Here is a 14,983-nt window from a genome sequence, read left to right on the forward strand (position 1 = left end):
GGCGACAGACCAAGATTCTGTCTCAACAACAACAACAACAACAACAACAACAACTCATCATTAATTACATATGTATTGAGTATATTCAATATACAAAATACTCCAACCAGCCAATATTCAGTTTAATACTACTACTGATGAATGATAGTGAAAAACTTTTTGTGAAATAATTACTTTTGGTATATCAGAGAAGACCAGTATTATGTAGAGAAGCTGAGTCATTTAAAATAAAAAGGTGTAACTATATTCAACAATACTCACACATATATAGTCTCAATATTGTACTTAACAGATACTCCAAAAGCTACTTAATTTGGGAATTACCAATCAATCAAAGCCTAGGCAAGTTCGCTTTGTGTCAGTATAGCAGTAATGTGGTGTTACCATTACTAATCTATGTGGAATTGTAATTTAACATAGAAGCTATCAGGCATAAAAATATTTGTGCAAAAGAGATGCTAATTAATGACCAAAATATTTATCTAAAAACAGAAAAAGTCTATTCTTTTCTTTGCTTTCGTTATCTAACTGAAGTACAAATCAGGTAATTTACAGAAATAGTCAATGTATCTTAAAGACTAGGAAACAGCAAATCCAGAGCAGCTTAGATTTCAAAAGTACATCCCCAAATCACCAGGTAAAATTTCCAGCATTAATAGTGATTATGAGATCATCTAGTCCAGTGCATTAAAGAGAAATATAAAGAAATACTAAGGCGCTAAAGAAAGTTGAAGTGCTAACTCTACAGGTTACTGGCACACTTTCCTTAAAAGTAGTGAAGATACTAACTCAACCAAGAACTTCGACTTATTAAATGTTTGCCTATTTACATCTAGCCAGTTCCATCAAAACATCTAAGCAATACAGAAAATACACAAAGCAAAACAAAAAAATATGAATTAAAAAATCAGAAAAGAAGGTTTAAACTAGAGAAAAAGTAGAGCACAAATACGCTGTCAACAAGGTTATGTCTTACAAGGTTTTGAATTAAACTGCCAAGCCAAAAAGAGAATAGCAATTAGTTGCATGATTCTTACTACGTATTATGAGGAGGAAGTATACCAGTTCCCTCAAAGGAAGCAAGGTTTTGTCATGTAGGGCTCTAAAATGAACTGAATGTCCATATTCCCTCAAATTCATGTTGAAATCCTAACCCTCAATGTGATGGTATTAGGAAGTGAGGTGTTTGGAAAATAATTAGGTCATGAGGTTGGAGTCCTCATGAATGGAATTAGTACTCTCATAAAAGGGACATCCCCCCCTACCACCACCCCCACCCCGCAAAAAAATTACCCAAGTGTGGTGGCACATGCCTGTAGTCCTAGCTACTCAAGAGGCTAACATAGGAGAATCATTTGAGCCTAGGAGTTTGAGGCTGCAGTGAGCTATGATCATTCCACTGCATCCCAGCCTGGGCAACAGAGTGAGACTCTTGTCTGTCCAACCGCTATGGTAGGGAGTTATGGGTTTCTTACAGCCAAGTCAAATGGTCCAGTTAATGCAGTTTTCTATTCATTTGTTTTAAAGGTAAAACCCAGATTAGTATTTCTTCCTAAAGATCACTTCTGCCAGAGAAAAGCTCTTGAATTGAAACGTATTTCAGATAATTACCTTTTCCTTGTCCAACTCTGTAAGAATTGCTTTTATTTTTCTCTATAACCTATATAAAAGACAACCACATTGTACTTAAAAGGTAGCCAATATTTTCCCAGACTTGCTGTATTTCAGTGGATTAAACTAGTCAAGGAAAAAAAATTATTTTTAAATGTTGGCTAATCCTCTATTAAGAATTTCAGGTTTTGCTCTAGATCATCTATTGTATGATTATGATTTTCTTGGTATTCACTTATAAAGACAATGCTATTCATCACAAGCCTCTAGTGTGAAATTAGTGAGACTTCTGTCAAGCTTTTTGAGATTAATAAAGTAAATGTTTGTAAATAGTTTTGAGATATGGCCAAAGGAATTATAAGAAAAATAAGTCCATTTCCTGACAAGAAGGTAATAATGTTTTAAATAATAATACTTTGTTTCTGAGAAGATAATGTTTTCTATATCATTATTTATCCACTTAGACAATAAAGCATTTTTCAAAATAGGAATTTTTTTTTCTGGTAGTTGAAAACAAGAGGGAAACACAGATGATATGCTAAACCAAGGCTCTCCCTTAGTCTCCTATATAACTAATTTCACTTATTTTTCCCCAGGCAGTCTTTAAAAGAACACTTAAACTGAGAGAATCTTTACTGGATTTACCCTGGTTATTGATTATTTGTTTTTAATTCTTAGATTTTTCAAAATACTTTCATATTCTGATCTTACACAACATTTTGTCTGTTAAGAAGTTATGGAAATTCAAATAAAGCAAAACAAACCAAAAACCTCACCATTATTAGAAATAAGAGAAAAAATGAGACTATGAGAAAGCCTGCATTTTAACAAAAATGATAACCTCTAAAATACGGAGGATATCACTAAGTAAACTACAGAGAATATATCAAAGGTGAATAAAATCACTTTCAGTCAAATACTTATGTAAGTGTTTCCCATTATTAATGCCCTTCTGGAAGCAAAGAGAGCTGACGTCACTTTCATAAGCCAAATCTATTCAAAGGATTCAGTTTTAGAATGAGCCAGCAAAAATAAAAATTTTCTTCTGGGCCAAAGTCATTTTTAAAAAGCACTCAGTAGAAAACACATTTTAGGAAGAAAAGATTTTCTCCACTTTGCTTTTCTCTGGAGTTATGCTTAGTTCCATGCATTAAATATGATACAACTATTTTATTCGTATCCAACGTGCAATTCTAATTGGGACTATCTTTAACACCATTAGGATATTTAGAATGATAATCTTAAAAAAATGACTTTTTTCTGTTCAAATTTGAAGTTTCAGGATCATTTGAAATGGTATGTTAGTATTTTATATTGTCTTCTTAGCTGACATATAACTAGGGGCATATACATATTACTTATGAAAATATAAATCATGGTGATGCTGATTATTTAATGTTATATTATTTCTGTTCACTGACAAAATTACTAGGTCTATAATATCAATAAAGGAACTATATCTAAACTATGCCTTATAGTTATGAATGCCCATATAATCAGTCTATGATAGTTTCAGCTTACATAAAAATATAAAAAGAAATAGGCACAAATAATTCCCAAAGAAGTGCTGTTAGCATGTAATTAGTATGGGAAATCTGTATTTGTGTAATGGAGATGGGGAGGAGAATGATTAGAAAAATATACACATGTGAAATTATAATATTTGTATTTAAAATAATTACACAATGTTAAGTACCAGAGAACTAGAATTCAATAGAATCATAAACCTATTGGTCTTGAAGGGACTTAAGATATATAATAAAATAAGAGAAAAAATATTGCTATTTTAATATGGTCAGAATTTTAAAAAATCTACTATCATGAATATACCAAGATAACTAAAGGTTGGGCTTCAAATAACTTGACAAAAAAATCTTGGTAAATAAATAATCAAATTAGTGAAACTCAATAGTTACTCTCACATATATGACTTATTCAAATAGTGGAAAGGAGTTACTTAGTTCACATGCATTCTTTAATCTGACAATTACATTATTAAGTCATGGCAATTTATCAATTTACAGCCCTCTTTACCACTAATTAAGAGTGTCAAACTGACAATACCGAATACCATAATTAGCATGACAATGTTTAAAGGTGGTAGCTGTTGAGTTATATATTCAAATAACACCCAATGAAGAATGTAATTGATAATCTTTACCTCTTTAGGGAGCAATGAAATGAAGTCTCGTTGAAACTGGGGTTCTATCACTTGCATCATATGTTTTACTTGTGTTGGTTCACAACTATCAATGAGTTCATCTAAAGCAAGCAATTTCTCTGGTCCACTCCAGCTCTATCAAAGAGAATTAGAAATTTTTATTGTTTTAACAGATGTCCCAAATTACAGGCTTATAAAGGAAAACTCACATCTACACACAACCATAGTTGATCAGGGTAGAACTGTATAAAAAGTGGCTCCTTATAGTGACATTTTTTCCACAAGGCATTGAAGAAGGCATTTAATTTCATCACTTACCAACAACTTTTATTTCGTAAAAGGTTAAAAAAAAACATGTTTGACAGAAAAATATTTTTTCATTACATTATTATAATAGTTATATGTTCATCTACCACCAAGTCACTAACTGAGAAGCCAAAATTTTATTCCAGAAACATCATTTTGGGTTACTGAGTAAATAATAGAAAATTTTGACAATTTCTCTACATTCTTTCTAGTAAGCACCATAAAATTAGATGGTTTTAATAAGGCACTCATCTGAAAGGAGACGAGCAGCATCAATCAGAGAAAAATTAGTAACTGGATATATTACACATTTGACAACTGTCTTCCACAAATTAAACAGGCTTTGATTTGTTATGTGAAAACAAATACACAATAGAAAATAGAATAAACAATAAAAACAATCAACAATAGAAAATAGTAGCTGATAGTGGTAAAATGAGAATATAAACAAAGGCCAAAAGAGGATAAGAAAGAGATACACTATAAAAACACAAAAACACACAATCATGCTTCAGAAATAAGAGTTCCTTTAAATGACATCAGGGGATTATCTTAAAACATTATCCCAGTGAAGAACACCTGCACAGAAAAGCCATGGTTCTTAAAAGGAAAAACTAAAATGCCATGTGAATAATTCAAAATGTTACAATTTCACACATTTAATTAACCTCATAATACTTAAATGAAAGAACATTCTTAAGCAGGCCTTTGTTTCTGCAAATCTATACTGATTTAAGTACCATTTTAAGAATTATTGTGTCCACTTTAGAAGTGGGTGAATAGAGAATAGGTGAGGTTTTCAGCTAAAAAGATCTGGATTTTGCCATTCCATTTCTTGTCCAAACAAGAAAACTTGATCCAAGACATGAAATATATAATAATTGACAACAGATATATTAAGGATATGAGGAGCTGTATTTGGAATACTTTTTAAAGTATTTACCCATGTGGAATCTACAATGAACTTCTTCTCTTCTTTCTTATCATAAAATATGTATTAAATTGGCAATACCATAAAACATTTCAATGGTATTTATTTCCATAGTATATTCCATTTTACCACCTAATGTTAAAGATATACAGGTTCCAACCAGTTGTGTCCCTTCCTTTTGCTTCTACAAATACATGTATCCAGAACATTCACCTTGAGTCTTACATTGTATCTTTTTTGGTCAGGGGATTTATTATACAAAGAAATGTAAAATACTCATAAACATGTATATGTACACACGTGACCAATTAAAAGCAGTTAATTTGAAGTTTAATTACCTTGTTTGGTTTGGTTTCTCTCACATAACTTCAAACACTGGTTTAAAACTTACCTCTTTGACATAACTGATAGTGATCAATCTCCACTCATCTCTCTCCATTTGGTATCAATAGAACAAACTCATTAATTTATTGATTCACATCCCTCACAGGATTTGAGGTGGGTTTTGATAATATGCTATACCTCTCCATCTACATCATAGACAATGCATGGACACTAATACAAGGACATGCTCATTTGGAGTGATGGATAACTATGCTGACTTGATTAAAATGTAGCTTAGGCCAGGTGTGTTGGCTCATGCCTGTAATCTCAGTAGTTTTGGGAGGCAGAGGCAAGAGGATCACTGGAGCTCAGGAATTTGAGATCAGCCTGGCAACATAACGAGACCCCATCTCTACAAAAAAATTAGAAATCAGCCAGGCATGGTGGAATGCGCCTGTAGTCCCAGCTACTCAGGGGGCTGTGGCAGGAGGTCAAGTCTGCAACGAGCTATGATCATGCCACTGCACTCCAGCCTAGGTGACAGAGCGAGGCTTTGTCTCAAAAAAAAAAAAAAAAAAAAAGCTAATATATGAGACATATCTTTTATCAAGGCTTTTGGAGGATAGGGTGTAGAAATTAAAGAAGACAGAACAGATGAACAGATGATAAACAACTAATTCAGACCTAAGCTAAATATTTGAAACTGTGTTAGAAATTTCCATATATTTAAGAAAAAGTACATGGAAAAAAATTATGCCTGTATAACAAAACATATCTAAGACTTTAAACAATATTTGAAACAATGTATTTTTATTTTGTTTTAAAGAATCTTTAATAAGAACCAGAGACAATTTAAAACGTCTCAATTTAAATTATCTATATACTCAGCAGATGTTACTTCGTGTTATCTTATTAAAAAGTATACCACTGATAGGCCCGGTGCAGTGGCTCATGCCTGTAATCCCACCACTCTGGGAGGCCAAGGCAGGCAGATCATGAGGTCAGGAGATCGAGACCATCCTGGCTAACATGGTGAAACCCCATCTCTACTAAAAATATAAAAACAATTAGCTGGGCATCGTGGCGGGCGCCTGTAGTCCCGGCGACTTGGGAGGCTGATGTAGGAGAATGGCGTGAACCCGGGAGGAGCTTGCAGTGAGCCGAGATTGTACCACTGCACTCCAGCTTGGGCGACAGAGCGAAACTCCATCTCAAAAAAAAAAAAAAAAAAAAAAAAGGATACCACTGATAAAGACGAGTAGCAATAGAAAATGAGACTGTTTCCACTGACTACACATATTCAACTGTCCTATCGTTTAAAATCACATCTCTTTGGTGATTCTAAACAAAGATCTGGACCATAAAAACAGCTTTCCTCTCTCCAGCCTGGAGTCCTTCCTGAACTCCAGACCTGTATTATGTTGTTGCTTTTTCAACATCTATTTTTGGATATGTAATTGAAACTTAACATGTCTATGATCTTTCTCTCCAAATCTGTATTTCCACAGTCTTCCTCATTTCAGTAAAATAAACTCTATTTTACTAGTTACTCAGGCCAAGAAGTCTTTGGTCATTCCTGACCCCTCCCTCTCTTTCACCATCAGATGCTTTTGATCCAAATGAACTCACAGCCTTAAACTTTAAAATATATCCACAATCTGACTATTACTACACTGGATTGAGCTACCAGTATGCGTCACCTAGATTATTCCTGTAACTCCCTAAGTGGTCTTCCAGCTTTCTACCTTCGGCTCTTCGTTCTATTCTCCACACTGTACTCAGTGCTACTGTCAGAAAGTCTTAAACCTTCTTAAAACCTTCTAATGGCTTTCCATTTCACCCAAAGTAGAAATCAGTCCTTAGGTTGGCCTACAACACACTACTTTCCCATTACTTTCCCTTTTATTTACTCTGCTCTGCCATACACACTCTTTCTGTGCTGTAAACACTCCAGGCACACTCAGCTTCACAGCATCTTTCCTTGCTGTTCCTTGGAATATTGTTTCCCTAGATACCCACATGCCTTGCTTCCTTACTTCCTTCCCTGAGCAACCTCTCTAAAATTGCAACCAGTTCCAAACTCATCCACCTCATCCCCTTCTGACTAGAATGTAGGTTTCAGGAAAAAGTGTTTTTTGTCTGTTTTATTCACTATTGCATACCACACCCAAGTAGGGCCTAGCACAGAAAAGGTGCTTAATAAATGTTTACTGAATAAATAAATGAATCCCAAAAGAATCAGGAAATACTCTCTCTAGATTAATGCTATCATCTCAACTCTATCTCTAGAGAGTGTTTCTATTCTTTATATTTGATGGTATCACTAGGACTTGCTTGCTTATTCTGGCTCCAAGAGTGGTTTCAAATTTTGTATATATACAATTTAGCAGCAAGGGACATATACATTAACATGAAAACCTTGCAGCTAATGACTATCTACGTGTGTATGTGTGTGTGTGCGCGCGCATGCATGTGTACATGAAATAACAACCTACAACAACAATTAACGAAGAATAGTTGAGAGATAACTGAATTGGGGATCAGGAAATAATTTTAGGAGATACTGTCGTTGTAATTAGGTTACAATTTAACCTCTTCAGGCCTTAGTTTATCTGCAAAAGCAGAGTGTTGGATAATTCTTTTAATTATTATTTTACTGCTACTTGAAAAGTGGTTGTCTCAGAAAAGAGAAAAAAAAAAAGTACTTCCTTTGGCCTTTCATGGTAGCCATGTTGGAACACATTGAAAGGGAGAGGAAAAACATTCCAGGTTCAGAAGCAAATTTTAATTTAAGGACAAAATTGCAAATGCAAATTTGAAAATTCCCCATGGAAGTGGTGTTTTATTTCAGGTAAATTAGGGCACAGAGGTAGTAGAGAAGAGTAGAAGGAGCACTAAACTGCAATCAAGAGCCTGGGCTTCACCAGGAAACTCACTGTAGAACAACATGGAAGTCTCTTAATGAGTCTGAGTCTCAGAGAACCCACCTACACAGTGAGAGGCTTGGTCCAGGCCAGTGGTTCCCAAATGCCGATCAAGGACAGCAAGAATTACTGAGTTCTAAAACCCGCCAGCAGATAGTCTGATTCAGTGGCTGAAGACATTTTATTTTTTAAACAAGCAACTCATCCAGTGTTGATGTAGATGACTCACAAAGCAGCATTTGGGAACCACTGGTCTGGATGATCTTTAGTGTCTCAATTAGATAGACTGTTTTATGACCTTGGGTAGTACTGCACCTGAATTTCATGTGGTAAAGAACTCACTTCTCTAGCACCTCTAGCACATGGTTATCCAGTCTGTTTGAACAGTTCCAGGATTCGAGTAACTTATTATCTCCCATTCTACTGTGGACCAGTTCTAATTGCTAAGTTTAACTTAATGCCAAAATCTGACTCAAAGAACATAATTCAGGTTTTACTTTCTGAAGAAACCAAGAATGAATCTTTTCCTACTTTTATACAAAAGTCGTTAAAATGTTAAAAACAGACATCACATTTTCTCCTGGTCTTCTCTAGCTAAATACATGACTTTCTTCAAGTCTTTCACACAAAACAAGGTTTTTAAATCACTGTGTCCCAAATACAATTTCAAAGTAATAATAAATTCAATTTTGGCACTATCCTGTAGGTTTTAATCTTTTGTTGATTAGCAAATAAGATGTAAATAAAGTAGATTTGAGAACATGTACAATTTCTAAGTGTTCCCATGAAACCTAATTAAATCTTCCAATGGAGAAGTTTTTTCTCCATTTTTAATATCAAAACACATGTATTTTATACTTATCATTTAAAAATATTTTTAGTATAACATCTTTTCAAAGTACATAAATAGCTTAATTCCAATATGCTTTAATTAAAATAATGTAAAGCTAATGGCATCTGTGTAAGGTTAAAGTTCTTCCATATCACTTTATCTTTGATCCTCATAGCAATACTGTGAAGCTAGTGTTAACGGTCCCTTTTTAGATCTGAGAAAATTTCTGAGGTCCACTAAGATTATTTCTTGACCAAGGGAAGAAACTAACATTTATTGAGTCTCCAATATATTTCCAAGTATAACTTTAAGCAGATGTACATGTTTTTTCCCCTTTGACAACTTTTTAATGTTATGTGTTTTATAGAGCGTGAAAATAAAGGCAAGAATGGTTATATATTAATGAAATTATTGTTTTTAAGAGACAATGTCAAAATTTGAACTAAGAACTTGTCCTTCTATGTCATTTGTGCTATTCTCAAGATGCTTCTGAATACAAATTTCAATATAAGATAATGTTCATGTAATTAATGTCTTTACCCAGTCTGAAAAGTTTAAGTGAAAAACCATTTATTAGCACCTGAATGATATAAACAAGCCAAAAAAATGACCAACTCGCTTCCCTAAATTAACTGAAGCATCAATCTGACTGCCATACAAAGTGGATCAATGGCTACTGAAAATTCAAATGGTATAAACTTTCTATTTTTTTTTTTGGTTTTTGTCTTTAATTTGCACTTCTATTTTCTAGTGGCATTCTGTTTCAGTCCTCTTTTATGCAAAATGGAATATCATTTGTTCATACTCAATTTATAAACAGAATACAGAGTACTTTGTCAGAATAGATGGAACTGGACCAAAGCAATGCTGTATCACTGCCTTAGGAGCAATAGCAGAACAGTAAGGGGACAAGCTCTCCCATACTGCTTATTATGCAACAGAAAAGTCATCATGAAATGCCCCCACAGTATATTTGTAGAAAACATGCCAGTTTAATTATCCCTCAACTCTCTCACATAGGTCAACTCATGACTCCCCACTTTATTATGAAATTATATCTCTACAAGTTAGACATTAAAGCACAGTAAGCCTTTAGGCAAGTGAATCATTTCTAGTTACTCTGGGACCAGCCCTGAAAATAAAGGGCAGTGTACAACAATGAGGCCTTGGGTGTGTCAGAGACAGACATGGTACTCAAAAGATGAAGGTCCTGATCTACCTGTCCAGTTGACCTTTTGTTGCTACAGATTTCTTTGCTACAGAATATTTATCTGAAAAAAATGTATATAATACTATACCTGCAGGGGTAATTCCACATGCTATTCCTGTTAACTAAGAACATGTTTTCTTCACTGCACCTACTCCTTTTACAGGACCAAAAGCTATTCTAACATTCTTTAGCTTATTGAATACAGTTTTTTTTTTTTTCACATTAACATTTCCGAAATTGGAATGCATCTAAAAAAACTATGGTGTCTCAGATTTGATGAAATACAGCATGCGGTAACATTTGGACATTTTATTTAAAAAGCATAAGCTAGCTAAACAAGCAAACGGTGTACAATGAACTCTCTAAAATATCCTGACTAAAATAAAGCTGAAATGCCTCTTCCTATAGATCAATACTACAGAGTCCCTTTAAAATTGAGAAATATCCTAGATAGCAAGCAAAGAATATTCAGGTATTCCAAAACGTTGGAAAAAATGAGCCCTACCACAGAAAAAGTAAATCTTACTCTGAACTACCTTCTGAAAAGAAATAAGCCTTTTCATATAAAATAAGCATTTTGGAGGTTATCTACAATGATGATAAAACTATTGCTAATAGTGTAATTTTCAATCATGTTGGTATTTTCTTATAAAAATGATATGAAATCAGTGAAATCATGTGATATGAAATCAGAATGATATATGCTGTTCACACTACATGCATGTGTTAGCATGGCAACATACAACCATATTCCTACCTCTTTGGCTTAATCAGAGATGATAAAAATCTTTAAATTATTTTTTTAAGGCTATACAAGTGTCCGAGTTTTATTTTCGCCTCTTATTGACGGATAAATTTCCTTTTAAAAGGATGGGACAAAATTAAAAATTTAGAATTCTGAGGGTGTGCATAGGAAAAAATAAAAATTAATTAACATTTTACAAACCATCATGAACCAGAGGCAAAATAACTCAGGAGGAAGGGTAGGAATAATCCCTGGGGAAAAGGTAAGTTTAATCAACAAATGACTATGAAAATGAAAACTTAAAAAAAATTCTTTGTAATTACAGTGGCTTATAACATTTTAATAACAATAAAATCTAACTTTCATTCCTCTAACCCAGATTCTTTAGTACCATTGACATTTTGGGCTGGATAATTCTTTGGCATGGAGATCGTCCTTTGTATTGCCTCTACTTACTAGATGCCAGCAGTGTCCTGCGCCCCATCCCCTCAGTTATAAAAATGAAAAATGTCTTGAGACACTTTTGTCTCAACGCGGGGAAAAACTAATCCCTGTTGAGAGCAAGGCTTAAATCTTTCAGTTACCAACCAAAAAAAGGTTATCCTAGTTTTGCAGAAATCACCTGAAGGGTAGAAAACAATTTTAAAAAACCATTTAAAAGCAATACTGCTCCAAGTTAGTTTTCTACCTACAGAAGAAAAAAATAGACACATTTATCTCATATTCATCTAGGTATTTAAAATATTAGGGTTTACAAAGTGAACACCTTAAAAATCTGAAACACTAAAAGTCAAGTAAAGTATCATCTTTACCAACGATTATTGCCTTATGCATTGATTAAATACCTAACCATTCAAGCAGCCAGAGGTAGGGTAGTATATTCTTTTTACATTACTATGGAGGCTAATATCAGATATTTTTTACTTTACATAATTTATATTATTTATTATTTGCAACAAATAATTGAGTAAGTACTTAATCCTTGCCATGTATTTTGCTAAACACTTGATGTATATGCATTATCTTACTGGAAGAAGAGATAAATCAATGTAATATCACTATCTTAGGTTATAAAGTTCATAATATTCAGGGTTTGGTTGTAACCAATCTTCCCTGTACACATCCAAAGAATATAAATACTATTAAAATATAGTAATCAGGATTCAAGCATGGTAAGCCATATACAAGCATGGCACTGAAGAAAAGAAGCTGTATTAACTCTAGCTAGAATGGTTCTTAAATTACTCTTAAATGCCTAACTTACAAGCAATGCAGTTTAGAAAACTAGACAACCCAGAAATTCAAACAAAGGAGAAGATGAAGGAAGGTCTTATTATTTAAAAAGCAATAAAAAAAATGTCAGTGCACAGTTACACAAATAAGTATTGGACTTTCTCAATTATGACATTCAAAAATTGAGTTCCCTTGTTTTTAATAGCATTTTTAAATTGAAATAAACAGCACATAACATTCACCATTTTCAAGTATATACTTCAGTGCTTCCCAGTATATTCACCTTGCTGTGCAACCATCGCTACTATCCAATTCCAGAACACTTCCATCACCCCAAAAGGACAATCTGTACCTACTGGCAGTTAGTCCTTCTCCTCCCCTCATTGTCAGGCAACCATTAATCTACTTTCTGTCTCTATGGATTTGCCTATTCTGGACATTTCATATAAAGAGAATCAACATGTGGCCTTTTGTGTCTGGCTTCTTTCACTTGGCAGAATGATTTCAAAATTCATCCACAGTATACTATGTAACAGTGTTTCCTTCTTTTTTTACGGATGAATAATCCCTTATTTTGCAGCAATTAAGTGAGGCATTTCAAGTACTATGTTTAGATATGTCACCTGAAACATTTTTAGCCATTCCTGGAGGCCTGTAGGTGGCTGGACAGATGTAATTCGGCGTCGTTGTTGCCCTTGGCCATTGGCTGCTCTGAGGTCCCCAAAAGTTGTTGGTGTTGCTGAACATGGTACAAGCCCAGTGGTACTACAAAAAAAAAAAAAAGAGAGAGAGAAAGGATAAAAGGAAAAAAACAAAAGTGAAAGCAAAGATAGATACTTATTAATAATAGATTCTAGTACAAAGAATGATGATCTGGCATATTTCAAACATCAATTAATTACCTTTCTTCCCAGAGATCACAGGTACACAAAACCTATTTGCTATTCTTACAGTAAGTTTCCTCCCTCCTATATAACGCCTGTTATTATCCCAGAAATGCTAATTGCAACCAAATAACAGAATCTCCATGACAAAACTGCAAGTTGTTAATATATACAAATAAAGTTAAAATATTTCCTTAGAACATACAAGTCCCACTTCTCCTATGACTGGTCTTTGGTGACATAAGTAAAGTTTAAATTTTCTTTATAAAAAGGGTTGTGATACTTTATTAAAGCTTTAAAAAACTCAGACATAGAAATACTATGTTCAAATGTTTTGAATTTCAAGAATCACATTATTCCTTAAGTTTGCCTCAGATGCCTTCAAAATTGTCTATAATATTTCTAATTTTTTACTGCTATTTATAAAGTTTGGTCTGAATAGTTGACAGGACTCAGTCTTGATTAGAAATACATTTATTCAAAACAGGTAAGTATTAAGAACTTATATGCAAAACTAAATAAGATCATCTAAACATTTTTATACAATAATTTAAATTTTGAGATTTAACTGTCTCAAACAAACTTGAAATTCAATTCTGCCACTAGTAAAATGAGGACGACTAGATGATCTCTCTAAAACTAACTACCCTAAAAATGACCAATTAATAGCAGAAAGAATATATAACTATATTACTAACGTATTAAACTTTCCTTTCTAATTTCTGCATGTAATTAAACTAAACTCAAGGTAAATATTGGGTATCCATTTTAAAGACCTTGGAAAAAAAGCAGCAGGAAGGTCTGGTTTAACAAAATTATATTTGAAAAGAAATTCTCACTCAATTCATTGAGCTATGTTGATTAATTATTTTAAATTCAAAGAACACTTACAAATTGCATCGTAATAGTTAACAATCAAACTCTGATAAATTACTAATGAAACAACTCCTCCAGCTGTTTTTTTCTATCCAGCATTATTTTGTTAAAAAATGTATCTCAGTCACCAGATTTTACAGAAAAGTCTTCTTATCTACTCCCTTTAAATCCTCTAATAGTATAAATCGAAGACAATCTTTAACATTCAGCAATTAAATCTATCTTTTCTTCTTTCAAATTCAAAGGTAAGTTCTATTTTCTTTTCCTCCAAAATAAAATAGGATATGTTTATAACAAATTTTTGATGGAAAAATCATAGTTTTATCTTATTAGCAAATCTGTCAAAAATATCACAAAATACCAAATATATACCTTCCTAACCGAGAGTCTCCAGAAAAACATGGAAATAAATATGCTGTTTGGTCTAATTTTGCTTTAATAAAATTATATATTAACAGGCTAAAAATAAAACTTCTGCCTTTTCAGTTGCTTTGTCAATATAAAAAGTGAGCAACTAAAGACAAATTTTACTAAAATGTGTTCTGTAATAAAAATTCAGCACTCATTTATTCTAAGCTGCCTTAAAAACAAGTGAACAATGTAATACCTTTGTCCTGGTATCAGCCATATTAATAGAAGACTGATACATTTAAAAAATAGCATTAACAGTTAGTTTAACATTAAATGCAAATTTCTCATCCAAGAAATACTTTATCATGACTAGAAGGGAAAAGCAAAATGAAGTGAATAGTTTCACTTGTCTCTCTATCCCTCCACACCCTCTGGTGGAAGTGCCAAAACACAGTAAAACTGTCAAAAGGCAAAGAGTAACAGGAAGGGGGACAGTTAACATAAGAAAAATCACACCGAAAAGCAGCTCCTGAATAAGAGATAGCTTTATTTTTCTTTTCTGTGTTATCTCTTCACTTTTTGAATGTAAGACTAT

At 33.2% G+C, this 14,983-nt stretch overlaps 1 protein-coding gene and 1 long non-coding RNA gene across 17 annotated transcripts in view; one reads left to right on the forward strand and one right to left on the reverse strand.

Annotated features, from left to right (window-relative positions):
* FBXW7 (F-box and WD repeat domain containing 7) overlaps positions 1-14,983 on the reverse strand; it is a 215,549-nt gene that overhangs the window by 13,486 nt on the left and 187,080 nt on the right. For all 16 annotated transcript variants that reach the window (XM_011532085.3, XM_047415900.1, XM_047415902.1 and 13 more), the window contains 2 exons: positions 12,901-13,042; positions 3,773-3,907 (listed from right to left, as the gene is read on the reverse strand). In XM_011532085.3, coding sequence (XP_011530387.1) covers positions 3,773-3,907; positions 12,901-13,042 — 277 coding nt within the window. The remainder of the gene's footprint in view (positions 1-3,772; positions 3,908-12,900; positions 13,043-14,983) is intronic.
* Positions 3,645-4,067, forward strand: FBXW7-AS1 (FBXW7 antisense RNA 1). The gene is made up of 2 exons (NR_104273.2): positions 3,645-3,708; positions 3,781-4,067. It is a non-coding gene; the product is annotated as an FBXW7 antisense RNA 1 (long non-coding RNA).

Source organism: Homo sapiens, chromosome 4, assembly GCF_000001405.40.
Source record: "Homo sapiens chromosome 4, GRCh38.p14 Primary Assembly".
Taxonomy (NCBI): domain Eukaryota; kingdom Metazoa; phylum Chordata; class Mammalia; order Primates; family Hominidae; genus Homo; species Homo sapiens.